We start from the raw sequence: 18,110 nt of genomic DNA on the forward strand, positions 1-18,110 counted from the left end.
TTCACTGTGTTGTTACAATCCTAGTGACAGTATTTGCGATACTGATGATGGTTAAAATGCTTCTAAAATGAGAAAGATTAGAAATGCATTTAAAAAATTCCTCTGAGCAAATATACTTTGCTAAGCATAATGGATGAACAAAATACCAATCCACATGGGATGGCTTTTCTAATATTTTGCATCAGGAAACAATGGTAGATATATTATGTTTCTTTTAAAAGAAGAGAAAATTTTAAAAGAGATGAGAAGTCTAAAGAAAGTAAACTCATATAATGTAATTTTGTCTTATTTATTCAAAAGTCTAACAGCTTCTAAGAGACCACTGAATGTCATTAAATGAAGCTATTGACTCTAAAATATATAATTAACCCCCACCTTGAAAATTATGATTGAGGATAAAATAACATAAGGGAATTCTGTGTTTTATAGCATCCTACGTCGCACATTTCAAAATCACTTTGATAGAATTATATACTAGTCTTTGTCAAAAAATAAAAATAAAAACCAGCCAAGCATTCATTCTACACCAGCACTCAGGTTTCTGCACAGAAAACATGAGATCCATGTAAATAATTACCTAAAGGAGTTGGTGGCTAAGGCAGAAAGGAGATCAGGGCTGATTACATGATTTTACTCCTCTCTCAACCTTATTTTTTCCTCAGAATAAGAAATTATTTCAAATTCAGGTTCATTGACTTTTTTCTAGTTTTCCGTTACATGTCTTCAGACATAATAGGCAATATATTTAAATCACCTAATATATCAACATATACCAATATTTAAATCACCTAATATATCAATGTGCAGAAAAACTTTTTCCAGGCTTTCATGACAAGCACAAGTTCCACAATACGGGCTATGACCGCCAGACCTACCTTCTCTCCTCATTAGTAAAACCTGATGCTGTGGGCCATCTTACAGATGAGCCTTTGTGGCTGAGGTAGGTTTCCTTACTCGACTACAATCTGTTTGCTATTCATTTCTTCACATAGGTTTTACCCTAAAGTGCTAGAAGAGGGAAAAGCAACAGCAACAACAAACTGACAACCCTGAGTTGTCCTGCAGTCACATCAGGGAGTTTTAACAAGGAATTTTCACATTGTCAATTCATTTACAAAAAATCTATTAGTGGCAGGGAGTGGTGGCTCATGCCTGTAATCCCAGCACTTTGGGAGGCCGAAGCAGGCAGATCACTTGAGGCCAGGAGTTCGAGACCAGCCTGGGCAATATAGTGAAACACTGTCTCTACTAAAAATACAAAAATTAGCCAGGCATTGTGGCACGTGCCGGTAATCCCAGATACTCAGGAGGCTGAGGCAAGAGAATCGCTTGAACCCAGGAGGCGGAGGTTGCAGTGAGCTGAGATCATGCCACTGCACTCCAGCATGGGCGACAGAGCAAGGCTGCCTCAGAAAAAAAAAAAAAAAAAAAAAAAAAAAAAAAAAAAAGCCTAATTAGTGCTTGATGATGTTTAGTGTAAAGCTGTGCTTCTCAACAGGGAACGAGGCAATTATTCCCCCCAGTACAGGAGACGCTTGTCAATATCTGAAGACATTTTTGGTGGTCACACTTCAGGGGTGCTATTGGCACATAATGAATAGAAGCTGAGGATGTTGCTTTCCACCCTACGCTGCACAGGACAGCTCTCTACCAAAAAAAAAAAAAAAAAAAAAAAATTATCAGTACACAATGTCATTAGTGCCAAGGTTGAGAAACCCTGATATAAAGATGCAACCAAAGTTAAGAAAGGAGAGGAAAAGGCTGAACTTTTAAAATGTACTAAACAAGTTTATTAACTCTTTTAATTTGAAGTGCTTTTCTTCTAAGAGTTCCCAAACTTGAAGTAAATTGTCAAATCACCAGAGGATCTTCCAAGATACATAGGTGGCAGGCCTTCTCAACACCCTACTTCATACATTGGGAAATAAAGGCAAAATTACTTCACCCATTTGGCTAGGACCTGTAGAAATCAGGGTTGTAAAGACCCATTAGAATGCAGTGTTCAAGATTCTTCCACGTGGGAGGCATCATAAACTAAATCTGCTATACAGCAAGTGTGTCTTATTAGAAAAGCATTTTTAACCTCATGTTTAATTAATGAGAAGACCAAATATTGGAAATTTTAAAGGCTACTAACTTCTAAAAAATTAATTTTACACAATTGTAATTTTAATTTGTTTCCTTTAATTCAAAAATCCTTTCTTGAATAGCTGGTATACTGAAGGTACCTGCTAGGCAACAAAAATGAATACAAAATAATAAGAGATTGCTCATATTTTCAGTGAGTTCACAGTCTTACAGATGTAAAAGAAGGCAAGTAACCAACCAATTGCAAGAGGGTGCTATATGATATGACAGAAATATGTGCAGGGTGCTAAATACAGAGAAAATATGGAGAAAAAGAAGATTTAAATCAGCTGGTGGTATTAGTAACTTGTTGGAGGGACAATACTTAAACGGCCTTGTAGAATAAGCAACAATTAATCAGATAGACTAACGGGGAAGGTTGTTCCAGGCAGAGAGAACAGCATACGTAAGAGTGGGGAGTTGAGAAAGAGCCAGGCTCAATAGGGAAGCTGAAAGACAGTCATTGAAGGCAGAATCCTAAATCTCTGTGGAATAATGGTGGAAGATGATAGTGGAAGACAAGGGAGATGCCAGACCTTAAGGGATATGAAGACATGCCTGTGTATTGAGAGAGCTTCTGACAGGCTTTAAGACAAGAATTGAATCACCATGCTCATATTTCAGAAAGAAAATTATAGCACCAGTGTTGAGGATGAACCAAAGGGGAAATAAAAATGAACAGGAGGCAATGGAGTCAAAAGATAACTTGGGAAGTAGAATTGCCAAGAATTGGTTGAGTCTAGAATGACTCCCAGTTTCTGGCTGAGGCCAGTGCTGCCCCTAACTATTAATAAGAGGAAATGGAGCGAGAATCAAGAGGAAGTTTGGCAGAATGAGATGCTGAGTTCCCCTTGGGGAGTAAGCTCCTTAATGGCAGGAGTCTTATCTTCTGCTCACTGTTGTGGCTCCCCACACCTATGGGATACTCAGATGAATATTCACTGAGGATTTTTATTTTTATTTTTATTTTTCTGAGATGGAGTCTCACTCTGTCACCCAGGCTGGAGTGCAGTGGTGCAATCTCAGCTCACTACAACCTCCACCTTCTGGGTTCAAGCAAATCTCATGCCTCAGCCTCCCAAGTAGCTGGGATTACAGATGTGTACCACTACATCCACCTAATACTTGTATTTTTTTAGTAGAGACAGGGCTTCGCCATGTTGACCAGGCTGGTCTCAAACTCCTGGCCTCACGTGATCCACCCTCCTCAGCCTCCCAAAGTGCTACAGGAGCCACCGTGCCCGGCCTCACTGAGTATGTTTCAACATGGGCCTAGAACTTGAGGGGAAAGTTCTGGACATAGAATTTGATAAATATCCAGAAAGTGATCTAGGGCAAAACCTTAGAAAACAGTTAACCATTAGAGGAATGAGGAAATAGATTAACAGAAGACTGCAGTACAAAAAAAAGAGATTGAGAAGCAACGAGAGCAATGGAGGGGAGAATGATATAATGGAAACCAAAAAAGGCAAGTAGTGGGGAGGAAATATTCAACACTGTCAAATGACAAGGAGAGGGTCAAGTAACATAAGGACTCCAGACACCTCAGTGTATAGATAAGACATCCATCATGATCAGAACCCACTAATTATGTACACAGTAACCTATGTTTCCAGATTTTATGGACACTCTACACCCTGGATTTAGAAATTTAGAGGTCACTATTTGCAAGAATGTCTTTAAGGAGGCATATTGAGAAAGAATGGGACAAGGAATAAATGCAGCATGAGAAAGTACAAACGGGAAGGCCACATTATTTGTTCACAATGTTTTGCTGAGAAGGAGGGAGAAAACTAGTCTAGCAAAGAGGGCAGTGTAGAGTCCAAGGAAGAGGATGTGGTTTTGTAGCTACGTTACATCAGGCAATGCTCCATGCGGGAGGCTACCGCTTAGCTCACAGGTGCTGCTTTACTTACTCATTCTTCACAAAGGCATGCTTGTTGATGGTCTCCACAACATCTCTGAAGAGAATTTTTGAAGTGAGAGTGTAACCATGATGTACTACTGGCTCTCCATCTGGGCCATCCCAACAGTCAACTGCCAAAAACAGAACTTTATATCAACAACCCAAAGTCTCTGGTGTTTATTAATATTTCTGGAAATACCAGACACATATTAAGTCCATTATCTGAAATTATACCCATTTCAATCCTGACAAAGACGTGACACAGACACAGAAATCGGTGTTCTGGCATATTTATCAGAACAAGGAATTAAAGAATTGCTTTTCCTCAAGACACAATGATTTGGTTTTGAGTGTGGTTAAAAAGATGTCATATTCTTAAACAGCTCAGAATTCACCAAAAACTCATTAGAACTTATCTAAATCCAGTCAAGTGTGCCCAAGGATAGGGAGATTTCTTGAAAGGTCATTTACCCAATTTCACTTCTTCTTCTTCTTCTTCTTCAGGTTATGAAGGTCTTTTAGAAAGTCACAGTGTCCTTCCCAAATCAATAATATAGTTTTCATTATTGTTCACTTAGGCTCACAATGTTTTCATTAGATTGATTTTCATTTCATTAATACTACAGTAGTTATAAAATAACATCAACTTCCTAAGTTCAAATCCTCGAGCGCTGCCAAGATTTATGTGAATTTGGGCAAATAACTTAATCATTTGAAGACTTGTTTTCCCCATCTAGAAAAGGAGAGTAATAGCACTTACATCATAAATTTGAGTGACAGTTAAATATATGTAAAGTAGCTTGTAACACTGCATGGCATATAGTAACTATGATTGTTATTGATACTATTAATATTGCTCTCTACCCACACAATCTCATTAGCTCTCAGCTGGAGAAAGACAGTAGGTTTTTCACCATGCCCCTCTGACTAAGAATTTGCTTTCTCTTGTTTTTATATTTTGCCCCCAGGCTAATTCCTCAAAACACTACTTTCACCTCATTGCTCCTTTGCTCAAAAGCCTACTTGGTGCATAGCACAGCATCCAACACAGAGAAGTAAGTAGTCTGTAAATATATGCTAAATGGATTAATAAATATCTTACCTCATACAATAGCTCTTGCGTGCTTACCTCCAACGCCCCTGTCTCTTGTGCTAGAGCCTGGCTAATCATTCACTAACCCTGTTTCTTCTTTTATCGAGGGAACACAGCTGGACTCTATTTCCTAGCCTTCCTTTGCAGGAGGATGTGGCCAGTGAAATGTGGGCAGAAAGTATGTGCACCACTTCCAGGTATGGTTGACAGAAACCTGCTGCCTTACATAATCATTCGTCTTCTTTCCTCTTCTGCTGTGACTTTAGAAGTGGTGAAGATGGCACAGCCACAAGATGGAAAAAGACAAAACTGCTTGAGAGATTCACCCACTAGGAACACCTATTTTGAACTTGACATAATCAAGAAATAAACTTCAGTTGTTTTAAGGCACAGGAAATTTGAAGTTTTATTGTTAAAAGGACAATGTTGCCTTAATTACCATGCTAGCTCCTGTCTGACAATTCAATCTTACTTTCTCCTACACCCAAGCTCACAGGCTTGTTCTTCTGGTTAGGCAAATTTTCTCACACACATTCCCACCTCCATGTGTCTTTTCTTCTTTCTTTAAAGTCAACTGACATATCCCCTTCTCATTTTGCTTACCTAAATCCTAATCAAGGCAAAACTAGGATCCCCCACAGAACCTCGCTAGCCCACAGGATCTCTCTTTTCCTTATGGCAAGAGGTCATCATCTCAAACACCACCAAAAGCCTAGCAGTTAATATAAATAAGTGCAGCGGCTCAATGGGAAATGTGTGCCTGAATGAGATAACTACTTACTGTTAATCATTACTAAGTAGGAATGAGAACCTTGGTTGCCAGAACTTCTGAGGAAACTAAAATGTCTAGATTTTATTGCTGTGAATTTTCCCAATTTTTAAATACTGGCAATTAATCCATTTTTAAAACTACAATATGGGTCAAACATAAACATTTCTGCAAGCTGAATTTGCATAATGGAATGCTGATTGAAAGTCTGCCTTTAGAGTTCGAGACCGGCCTGGCCAACATGGTGAAACCCCTTCTCCGCTAAAAATACAAAAATTAGCTGTGTGTGGTGGCGGATGCCTGTAATCCCAGCTACTCAGGAGGCTGAGGCAGGAGAATCGCTTGAACCCGGGAGGTGGAGGATGCAGTGAGTCGAGCTCGTGACATTGCAACTCCAGCCTGGGCAACAAGAGTGAAACTCCGTCTCAAAATAAAAGAAACTCTGCCTTTAATTAGGACCACACAGTTGTGAACCACATATGTTCTCTATTTTAGTAGCACCTTCCCCTATATGTGTGTTTTGTGTATTACCCCAGGAGATATCTCTGTTTTTCTTTTAAAATATTCAAAATGCTCACCATAATTACAATGTGATTGTAATGGTTAATTTTTCATGTCAATGAGGCTTGGCTATGATGTTCAGTTATTTGGTCAAACACCAGTCTATATGTTCTGTGAAGATATTTTAAAAATAGGATTAACATTTAAATCAGTAGGCTTTGGGTAAAGCCGATTATGCTCCACAATGTGAGTGGGCCTCGCCCAGTCAGCTGAGAGCCTTAAGAGCAAAGACTGAGGTTACCCTTCAAGGATAAATTCTCAACACTGCAACACAGAAACTGCCTGAATTCCAGCCTGCTGGCCAGCTCTACAGATTTCAGATTTGCCAACACCCACAAGCATGAGAGTCAATTCCTTAAAAATCAGACAACGAATCTCAATCTCTTGCTTTCTCTACATATCTTATTGGTTCTGTTTCTCTGCAGAACCCCGACTAATACAGCTATCTATATTAATCCACTAAACACTGGCTGTTCAAATATCCCTATGGGAAAAAAATAGAAAAAATAAAAGAAGAAAAAACATTCACAGTTGATACCACAGGAATGCTAAAAACAATGTTTAAGGATAAAATGCTGTTAAGAAAACCAAAGGTTCTGAGATACTATCAGAGAGTGTCTACTATTCCTTGGGGCCTGCAAATGAGGTCATATGTATCAACAACATCTTCTCACAAGAGAAGCGTCATCCATATTTTTCCATGTACTTGACAGTCTTTAATTTGTCTCTGGAAATAATTATGGAAAAAACTTAACAGGTGTTTCAAATAATATATAATTTTAACAATTTTTACCCTGTTTTGTGGTCCCTTCTTGGAGAAGAAAGAGCATAACAGGATTCTTCATAAAGGAACTAATAGCTTTTCCAAAAGAATGCAAAGGCGACAAAGCAATACCTTGCCCGACTTGCTTATGGTGTCTACATCAAAAATTAAAACTACACGAGTCATGAAAGAAGGCACTCTTTGGCTAGTATTTACAACATAGGCAGAATATTCATAACTGAGGATAGGAGGTTCTCCTAATGTTCAATTTTTATATCTAATTCCATCACTTGTCTGTGAGATGAAGATAACAACATTCCCAAATGGTACTGGCATCTTAATATGTGGCATTCGTGGCCAGGTTCAAATGGCAGTGAAGTTTCCTGTAAGTGCTAATGCTGTAAATGGGAATGTTGGCAAGGTAGAAATCCTCTGTCCAATTCCCCTGCTCATAAAAGAGCCGGGGCCCATTTTTCAATCAGGTTACACACTATGGAACCCCAAAAGCAAAGCAACTCCAACAAAGATTTAGCCATTCTGAAGGCCAAATAGCTAACATGACAGCTTTTCATAATGGAGCTTAAAGACGTTCCACCCTGATAGCACTCCCAGAGATAACTGGAGAAGTCATAAACCGATTACAACAGCAATGCAACATCAGTCCCATAATGAGAATGAAAATCCCCTGGACAGAACATCCATATTTATTAAGCAACTCAGGCTGAAAATCAAGCGAATAAAAGGCCATGTAAAAATGTTATCCATTTGATTTGCTGACAAGCCCACCTCACCAAAAAGACTTATTGCTCTTCCTCAAGACACTGTGTACATATCCTGACTAAGGACATTATTGCAGCTGAACTAATGGAGATGGAAAACATAACATTACCAAAATAGAAGCTTGAAAGTAGAGAGAACCTCCAGGTCACAATAGTGTGAAAATACTGTAGAATCATTCTTCTCCATCTCTCAAGTGCTACACTTAGCAAAAGCTGCTTCAGAAAACAGCTGTGGGACCTGAAATTTTCAACCCATGACCGGCTACATTCTATAAATTGTGTTCTTTAAATTCTAACTGCAGCTGTTTAAGAATAAAAATACCTTCATCTGGCCACATGGCAGATAAAATGCCACTAGGTATACAGCAGTACCCCTTTATCCTCGGGAGATAAATTCTAAGGCTCCCGGTAGATGCCTGAAACTGCAAAGTACTGAACCTTATACATACACCCTTGTTTTTTTCCTACATATACATACCTATAATAAAGTTTAGTTTATAGATTAGGTCAGTAAGATATTCACAATAACTAATAGTAAAACAGAACAATTATACTGCAATAAAAGTTATGTGAATGTGGTTTCTCTCTCAAGATATTTTACTGTATCACCTTTCCTCTTGTGGTGAAGAAGGGACAGAGTAGGACGGTGTGAGATTTCATCACACTACTTAGAATGGTACACAACTTAAAACTTATATGTTGTTTCTCTCTGGAATTTCTATTTAATATTTTCGGGGTGCAGCTGACCATGGCTAACTGAAACCATGGAAAATGAAACCGCAGATAAGAGGAGACTACTATACACACACTGGTGTCTCTGTGCCCAAGCTTCAAATGTGGACTAAGGTCTTCAAATCACAGGACTGACAGATATTGTTAGGAGGACCACAGAGATCATGTCACCAAATGCTAAGCCTTCAGGAACATCTAAATATTTAGGTGGTAGGCCTAATCACAAATGAAGCAAATTCCTCCTTTTAATGCCAACCTCTCCTCTATGTTGTGCTCCTCACTTTCTCTGGCCATCCTTATATGACATGACAGCCTCATTCAATTCCTTAGGGCTGGTCATGTCATTCAATGCTTGCTCCTCCAAAAACACACAGACTTTCTGGAGAACAGTGCAATTCAAGAGTCAGACCAACCTGAGTTCAAATCCCAGCTTCCAAGCTTCCTAACCTCGGGAACTTAAGCCATTTATTTAACTATGAGTTGAATCTCTTAAGAAGAGATTATTCCCTCTTTCTTGGTGGTGTTATAAGAATTAAATGAGAATGCACGGAAAACACTTAGCCAGGACCTGGTCCACTAAAGTTGCTAAAATCATAGTAGGTCCTCTTTTCCTTCCTACAATACATTCAAATCCAAGGTGACAACCACTATTTCCAATAAGAAATAGGTCAAACACACAAAAACAAAATGAACAAACAAATACAAAGAAATAGGTCAAATGCAAAGCTGGCCAAGTCTCTGAGATAAATATAATTATTCTCCTCAAGAAAAACATTCCAGAAATAGTAGTTCAACTTCTATTGTCCAGTTATAGATTATTCTAATAATAAGAACTTTAAGCCAAATACTAGGGAAAGAATTTACTGATGCAAGCTGGTGAGGAAGATATTTGGGAGCATATAAAAAATTACATATCCTTCAAAATTATACCATAGCTGTGCATAGCCTCGTTTGTACAAGTATCTGGAGAAGGTAACCTTTTGGACATACAGAGCCAAGTAGCTTCTTTATATTACAGCAGCGACTGGAAAACAGGAAGTAAGAAGGTACAAGAGAAGGCTCTTGTTCAATGTCATCTACTGCACACAATTTCCAAAAGCTCCCATTTTAGAATTAAAAGACTACTGGAAAAGCAACAACTAAAAATCATGTGTACTTTATCATGAATTATCTTAATCAGATAACTTTCCTTCTTAATACCCCAAACAAAGCTGGAGGTTTAGAAGTTTTGAGTCGGTATAAGGAATTAATGACAGAAACATGGTTAGGCTTGGGTAGGATACTGATTTTGGACAGGTAAACCAAAAAGAGAAGCCTAGGTATCTGAAAGAACTGAAAAGCAAAAGAAATAGAGCAGAAGAGACAGAATTAACAAAGTTGTAAAATTGTCTAGAGTTGACTGTCACTTCATGGAGTCACTAAAAGTCATTTTCTGTACTTGAACCTCCAAGAAAATGTCACTATTTACAATGATAGGCAACCATCAGTGTGAATCCAATGAGGCTGTGTGCTCAGGGCATCTCTATGCATGCCAGACATGAAAACTTGTTGAGTGCTAAGCAAACAAAGGGCTGAATAATGGCTGAGAGCAGAATGTCACCTTGAGACATCTTACTGCTTGAAAGGATTTTCTTCCTCTTAATATTTTATAGCATCTTCATTATTCAGTTGTTTAAGCTACTCAATTGTTAATCACTATTGCTGGTATGTACTCTCTGCAACTATTGCAAAAATACTATTGAACGACTAAATTTACAGAGCATTCAATTTGTAGTCATCCTAATGTTTCTGTATGCAGGTAGTTTTTAATACCTGCCCATTTTTTAAGCATGTTGATTTACCTTAATAACATTACTGTCACTTTTGTAGCAGAAAATTCAAGCTAGAAACTATCTGACAAAGAAAGGCCCTTCCAGTTAAGCAGTCTTATCTCATTGTCCTACTGCTTTATTCATTGCCCTGCACTTTCCACCATGCCTAGGAAAACCAGTCATCCCACTGCTGACTCCCAGCACATTCCCCACCAAAATCAAAAGACAATTCCCTGTGACTCATGGCATCTCCATTCAATCATAAACCAACTCCCTTTTATCTTCAGACTCCCTTTGGAATTCTCCTCAACCTCCTTACCCTGGCTAAGCACCAGCTTACCTTCGAGGGCACTACTTCCTTTCTCCAAGGATGCTCTTTTGTATAAATCACAGAAGATTTAGATATAAACCAAAAGGCATTATCTATGCCTTTACTGCTACTTTTAAATGATTGTTCTTCTACACTCATTAAAAAATCTCTCCTCTTTTGAAGCTTATTCTATCCAGCTATACCTTTCTGGCATCTTCTAATCACCTTTTCTTTTTTTTTTAATTATTATTTCTTATTATTATTATACTTTAAGTTTTAGGGTACATGTGCACATTGTGCAGGTTAGTTACATATGTATACATGTGCCATGCTGGTGCGCTGCACCCACTAACTCATCATCTAGCATTAGGTATATCTCCCAGTGCTATCCCTCCCCCCCTCCCCCCACCCCACAACAGTCCCCAGAGTGTGATGTTCCCCTTCCTGTGTCCATGTGCTCTCATTGTTCAATTCCCACCTATGAGTGAGAATATGCGGAGTTTGGTTTTTTGTTCTTGCGATAGTTTCCTGAGAATGATGATTTCCAATTTCATCCATGTCCCTACAAAGGACATGAACTCATCATTTTTTATGGCTGCATAGTATTCCATGGTGTATATGTGCCACATTTTCTTAATCCAGTCTATCATTGTTGGACATTTGGGTTGGTTCCAAGCCTTTGCTATTGTGAATAATGCCGCAATAAACATACGTGTGCATGTGTCTTTATAGCAGCATGATTTATAGTCCTTTGGGCATATACCCAGTAATGGGATGGCTGGGTCAAATGGTATTTCTAGTTCTAGATCCCTGAGGAATCGCCACACTGACTTCCACAATGGTTGAACTAGTTTACAGTCCCACCAACAGTGTAAAAGTGTTCCTATTTCTCCACATCCTCTCCAGTACTTTTTTTTTGATGGAATCTCATTCTGTTGCCCAGGCTGGAGTGCAAAGGCATGATCTCGGCTCACTGCAACCTCTGCCTCCTGGGTTCAAGTGATTCTCCTGCCTCAGCCTCCTGAGCAGCTGGGACTACAGGTGCATGCCACCATGCCCGGATAATTCTTGCAGTTTTAGTAGAGATGCGGTTTCACCATGTTGGCCAGGCTGGTCTCAAACTCCTGACCTCAAGCCTCAGCCTGTCTCAGCCTCCTAAAGTGCTGGGATTACAGGCATGAGCCACTGCGCCTGGCCACATTGTTTTTATACTTAAGTGTCTGGTTTATAGTTTTAATCTCCAATCTGCTCCTGTCTGCATACTTTGTAAATTAAAACACCATGTAGCCATCTATTTAATCCCTTAGCACTGACCTCCTCCAGGCCAATAATCCCTTGCTTCACTCTGTTTCCATGATGCTCACCCATGACACAATCTGGAAATTGTCACCTGTGACTAAATCCCATTGCAATGACAGCTCTGTTCTCATTTTCTTAAAGTGTGATGACAACTTTCCACATTTTTCTATTTATTTGAGTCTTCTAGTCTCTTAATCTTATTTTATGGCCCCCTATCCACTTCGCTTCCTTTCCTAGAACCATGGAGCCCCTGTCAGTTACTTATAAGAGCTCTCACCAATACCTTGAAGATATTTAATATGATCTAGAAATCCCGAGACTTGGATCAATTCCATAATCTGTCTTCACTACTTCTCTAAGCAGATGAGTACTGCTGGGGATGGGATCAAAGGGAGTCTAAGCATCCAGATTTTGAATCAGTAAAGACTGTTTTTGAAATCAGCTTGGGCTTCCCTGACTTACCTTGTCAATTCCTTTCCCATTCTCTGATGACTTCTTTAACAATTTGCTGATTTTAAGCCCTGTGGCCAATCTCCACTCACTTTATACTGAGTGGATGATGTTCTCTCCTACTTCTCTGAGAAAACAGGCATGCGCCCTTTCAAAAATCTCTTGTCCCCTTTATTCCACCTGAAAACAAACCTATATTATTTCCCCCACTTCCAAGTCTCAAAGTTGCCCCCCAGCCTATATCATCAAACATTTGGATGCAGAAAAATGCCCAGTCACCAATCGACAGCAGGTAACCAACTGCCCACTAACATATCACCAACCTACATAGCAAAGGCCACCAACAATTCCCTGCTGTCAAATACAACTAAATTGGATACTTAGTTTTATTTTATTTTTCTGTTCCCTGTGGCATTTCTGGCTATTCCTTTCTAACCCTTTCATCCTTTAGATCCAAGTACTCCTGTTCTCTGCACTGGCCTTGCTGGCTCCCCTTGTGCTCCCTACTCCTAATCGTTGTATTGCTGAAGTCCTCAGGCCTCTTCCTCTTTTCCCCTTCTCTCTGTAAGTGATCTTGTACACTTCCATGATTTTAACTACCACATACCAAGTTCAGCATTTTGGAATCCTTATCTTGCCCAGACTCTTCATTAAGTTCAGACATTGTTATCCAAATGACTGATAAAGATGTCCACATACATGTTACAAAATCAATCTAAATTCAGCAGATGGAAAACTGGACTCATTTAGACTCTTGTTCTCAGATTCCCTATAGTATGGAGTGGCACCATCCACCTTCTAGCTCTCCCCTTCGTTCCTTTTATTCTTTTCTCTCACCAGTTTCCACTAAGTTTACCTCTTCAATACTGCATCCTTAACATCATCTCTTTCTCACTTAGTCCAAGATTTTGGAATCCTCCCTTGGATTCACTGTGATAGCCTTCCCACCAACTTCCTGCTTCCAGTTTCACCTCCCTTCTCCCTCCACAAACACACATGTCAAAAAAAAAAAAAAACTTTTAAAATTATCCTTTCACACTGTTGCCCAAATAATCTTTCTCAACTGCAAATCTGATCATATCACTATAGATATTAAAACCTTTCACTGGCCCCTCATTACCAAAAACTAAAATGAAATTCCTCACCATAGCACTCAAAACCCTTTACAGCTGACCCTCAGCTCCCTTCCTAGCCTAACTGATTTCTCATCACATTTTACCTCGCACTTCATTCTCTATACCACCACTTCTATACCATTGTATATCAACCAACCGGTGAAATTTTCACATTGTTTCTCTCTCTCTGTCTCTCTCTCTCTCTCACAGGTGGGGTCTCACTGTGTTGCTCAGACTGGAATGCAATAGCTATTCACAGGCACAATCACAGCACACTGCAGCTTTGAACTCCTGGTCCCAAGCAATCCTCCCACCTCAGCCTCCCAGGTAGCTAAAACTATAGGTGTACAATACCATGCCTGGTTTATATTATTTTATAAAAAAAATGTTCATCCCTTCTACTAGACTGTGAACTCCCTGAAGACAGAATTCATATTTTACTTACTCCTGTATACTCACCACCTGGAACCCACTAGAAGTTTAATAAATGTTGGCTAATTGATAGACCATGAAGTATCCTAAAAACAAAGAGCTTGGCCAGGCGCGGGGGCTCACACCTGTAATCCCAGCACTTCGGGAGGCTGAGGTGGGTGGATCATGAGGTCAGAGATCGAGGCCATCCTGGCCAACATGGTGAAACCCCGTCTCTACTAAAAATACAAAAAAAATTAGTTGGGTGTGGTGGTGTGCACCTGTAATCCCAGCTACTTGGGAGGCTGAGGAAGGAGAATCGCTTGAACCTGGGAGGTGGAGATTGCACTGAGCCTAGATCGTGCCACTACACTCCATCCTGGTGACAGAGCGAGACTCCATCTCAAAAAAAATAAAAAATTAAAAAATTAAAAAATAAAAACAAAGAGCTCTCCTGAACTATTTTTGCAATTGTATAATTAAAAATATCTTTCTAGGAAGACTTTAATTTTCATCATAATTTCTCAGCAACTAACGGTATGCTTCACAACTGCTAACACAGATCTCTTTCTCCCAATTGAACAATAAGGAGCCAGAGAGAATTATGAGTTAAGATTGACTTTACAATGAGCAGAAAAGTAGTACTAATTAGTGTGAGAGTGTGTTTTAGGTCTCCATTCTTTATACTAGACTCGACAGACTGATTAAAGGACAGGGTCACCCATACACACCGGAGCTCAGAAAAAGTGCACGTACCTTCCACACAGCGACAGCCCTCTTGCAGCACCCGTGCATACATATCCACTTTGGACTGAGAAAGGAGCTGGTCTCCAGTCAGGTATGTATTGTGAGAGGAAGCAATGTAGTAGTTGCAGAGGGGCTGATCCATGTCTTGGTACACTTCATGGTGCAATGGGTTAAATATGTCACAGGCAGGACTACGCATGAAGTTCGTGAAGCCTTTGGAAGAAAGAGAGTGACTTACTACAGCTTTCAAAGCATATATACTTAATGGCTCTAAGAGGGGCAAAAGGGGTCAAAAAATGTTCATAATGATTATCTTATTTACCCTCAGGATGGCATTTGTGGGGAAAACTGGAGCAATGAGAGATTTGCTTGAGGTCAATAGTATGGTTTAGATATTTGTTCCACCCAAATCTCATGTTGAAATATAATCCCCTATGTTGGAGGTGGGCCCTGGTGGGAGGTGTATGGATCATGGGGGTGGACCCCTCAAGGCTTGGTGCTGTCTTTGCAGTAGCGCATGAGTTCTCCTGAGATCTGTTTGTTTAAAAGTATATGGCTCTCTCCACTCCACTCTCTCTCCTGCTCCAGCTCAAGCCACGTGACCTGTTTCCTCCCACTTCACCTTCTACCATGAGTAAAAGCTCCCTCCAGCCTCCCCAGAGAAGCCAAGCAGATGCTGGCACCATGCTTCTGGTACAACCTGTAGAATGTGAGCCAATTAAAACTCTTCTTTATAAATTACCTAGCCTCGGGTATTTCTTTCTTTCTTTCCTTCTTTATTTTATTTTATTTATTTATTTTTTTTTTTGAGATGGAGTCTTGCTTTGTCGCCCAGGCTGGAGTGCAATGGCACGATCTTGGCTCACTGCAACCTCCGCCTCCCAGGTTCAAGAGATTCTCCAGCCTCAGCCTTCTGAGTAGCTGGGACTACAGGCATGCGCCACTGCGTGTAGCTAATTTTTTTGCATTTTTAGTAGAGATGGGGTTTCACCATGTTGGCCAGGCTGGTCTTGAATTCCTGACCTCATGTGATCTGCCCGCCTCGGCTTCCCAAAGTGCTGAGATTACAGGCGTGAGCCACTGTGCCCGGCCAGGTATTTCCTAATGGCAACACAAGAACAGCCTAATACAGTCAAATAGACAGTGTCAAAAAATGAAATGTGACTTTTAGGAATAGCCTTTTAAATATAACCTAATATATATATACATATATATATGTATATATACATATATATGTATATATACATATATACACATACATATATACACATATATACACATATATATACACATACATATATACACATATATACGTATATATACACATATATATACATATATATACGTATATATACACATATATATACATATATACATATATATACGTATATATACACATATATATACATATATACATATATATACGTATATATACACATATATATACATATATATACACACATATATATATGTGTGTATATATATGTTGACTTTTTAAGAATTTTGACTAGGTAGAGGAGGGGCCAAGCTGTTTAGTGATGACTGAACTCAAGCTATGCTTATGCAGTGTGACTGATGCCATGTTAAAACCATAGTGATACCAAGAGGTACCCTGAACAACCAGCAATTGATAGGTTATTACGTTCATCTGAAAAACAGTAAAGTCAGTGCCATAGTTAAGGTAGTAAGCCAAAAGTTAAACACTGTCTAAATTCAGGGTGTGATTGACAACCAAATTGGTTTGAAAAAATGCTGCTAATGGCTGGCACATTTTATAACTTTGAAATAGTCCTTTAAGATTATTTAGAAAACCCTATCAGTTTTTTTACAATCTTTCAAAATATAATGCCTGGGTCAAAGAGGTTTTCACTAATATAACAAATAAATACATGGATGACTCACAAGTACCTAAATAGAATAATTATTAGGGTAAATTATTTCAAGTTTTCAAAAATCATTTGGTATAATTATATTTGTAAATATCCTCAGAGACTTAATTTCTTCATGCCAACTTTTATGTCCATAACTTAGGAAACCAGGTTTAATTCCATCTTTTCAGGCCTCACCAAAGAAAAGATTCATTTCTTAGCACAGAAAAGGCCCAAGTTAGTTTATCATCTCTGGTTGTTTTTAAAACAGTTTTTAATGATATAAGATTTTATTTTATTTTATTATTTTATTTTTTGAGACAGAGTCTCACTCTGTCACCCAGGTTGAAATGCAGTGGCACGGTCTCGGCTCACTGCAACCTCCACCTCCCAGGCTCAAGGGACTCTCGTGCCTCAGTTTCCTGAGTAGCTGGGATTACAGGCATGCGCCACCATGCCCAGCTAATTTTTGTATTTTTAGTAGAGATGGGGTTTCACCATGTTGGCCAGGCTGGTCTCAAACTCCTGGCCTCAAGTGATCCCCCTCCCTCAGCCTCCCAAAGTGCTGATTACAGGTGTGAGCCACCACACCCGGCTAATGATCTAAGATTTTAAATTATTCCTCTTCACTTTAATTACCTACCACCACAGGAAGTAAATAGATGGTATTAAACCCCCCTTGTTCACACTGATCTGGGAGCAGAAGAAATGAGGGGGCCAACGGTCAAAATTGGTGAGATAAACCATGGCTTTGCATGCTCTTATAGGCAGCTGGTCTTTCATTAAAGATCATCTGCTCTGCCTGAAAGATCCTCCTCTTGGGTGGCAGCCTACATAGTATTTCTTTACATATTTTAAATACATATACATACATGTAGCTATATTTCTGCCATATTATTTACGTCTAACATTTCAGGAGCTAGATTCTGGGTATATAACTGTGGGCAAATTATTTAACTTATTTGAGCCTCACTTCCTCAACTAAAAAATGAAGTCATTGTATTAATGAGATTTGTGGTTCCAACAGCTTCTGCAAAGCTACCAATTAGGAAATACAGTCAGTTGCTACCATTTTAAAGGAAACATGGCAAGTCACTAGTCTCAGGGATAACTTATTTTAGGACTGAATTTCCCTTCATGAAATTATCAGGCTAATTTCCAAAAATTAGCCAGTTGAGAAAAGCCCAAATATGTCATGGCATCCATCACACGTGGTGGTACCAGGTAGACTTGCTTGAAGTGGAAAATGCTTATGGGCATTGCAAAAGTAAGACAAATAGCAACATCATGGTCTTTGCTTTGCAGGAAAATATATGTGTGTTGTAGATTTTGTTTGAATTATTTATTAATATAATCCCATGGATATGTC

General features: G+C 39.2%; 1 protein-coding gene across 20 annotated transcripts in view; it reads right to left on the reverse strand.

Moving 5' to 3' along the window:
• PLCH1 (phospholipase C eta 1) overlaps positions 1-18,110 on the reverse strand; it is a 294,138-nt gene that overhangs the window by 99,099 nt on the left and 176,929 nt on the right. For all 20 annotated transcript variants that reach the window (XM_017005927.2, XM_047447747.1, XM_047447746.1 and 17 more), the window contains 2 exons: positions 14,883-15,086; positions 4,044-4,164 (listed from right to left, as the gene is read on the reverse strand). In XM_017005927.2, coding sequence (XP_016861416.1) covers positions 4,044-4,164; positions 14,883-15,086 — 325 coding nt within the window. The remainder of the gene's footprint in view (positions 1-4,043; positions 4,165-14,882; positions 15,087-18,110) is intronic.

This window comes from Homo sapiens, chromosome 3 (genome assembly GCF_000001405.40).
Source record: "Homo sapiens chromosome 3, GRCh38.p14 Primary Assembly".
NCBI lineage: Eukaryota > Metazoa > Chordata > Mammalia > Primates > Hominidae > Homo > Homo sapiens.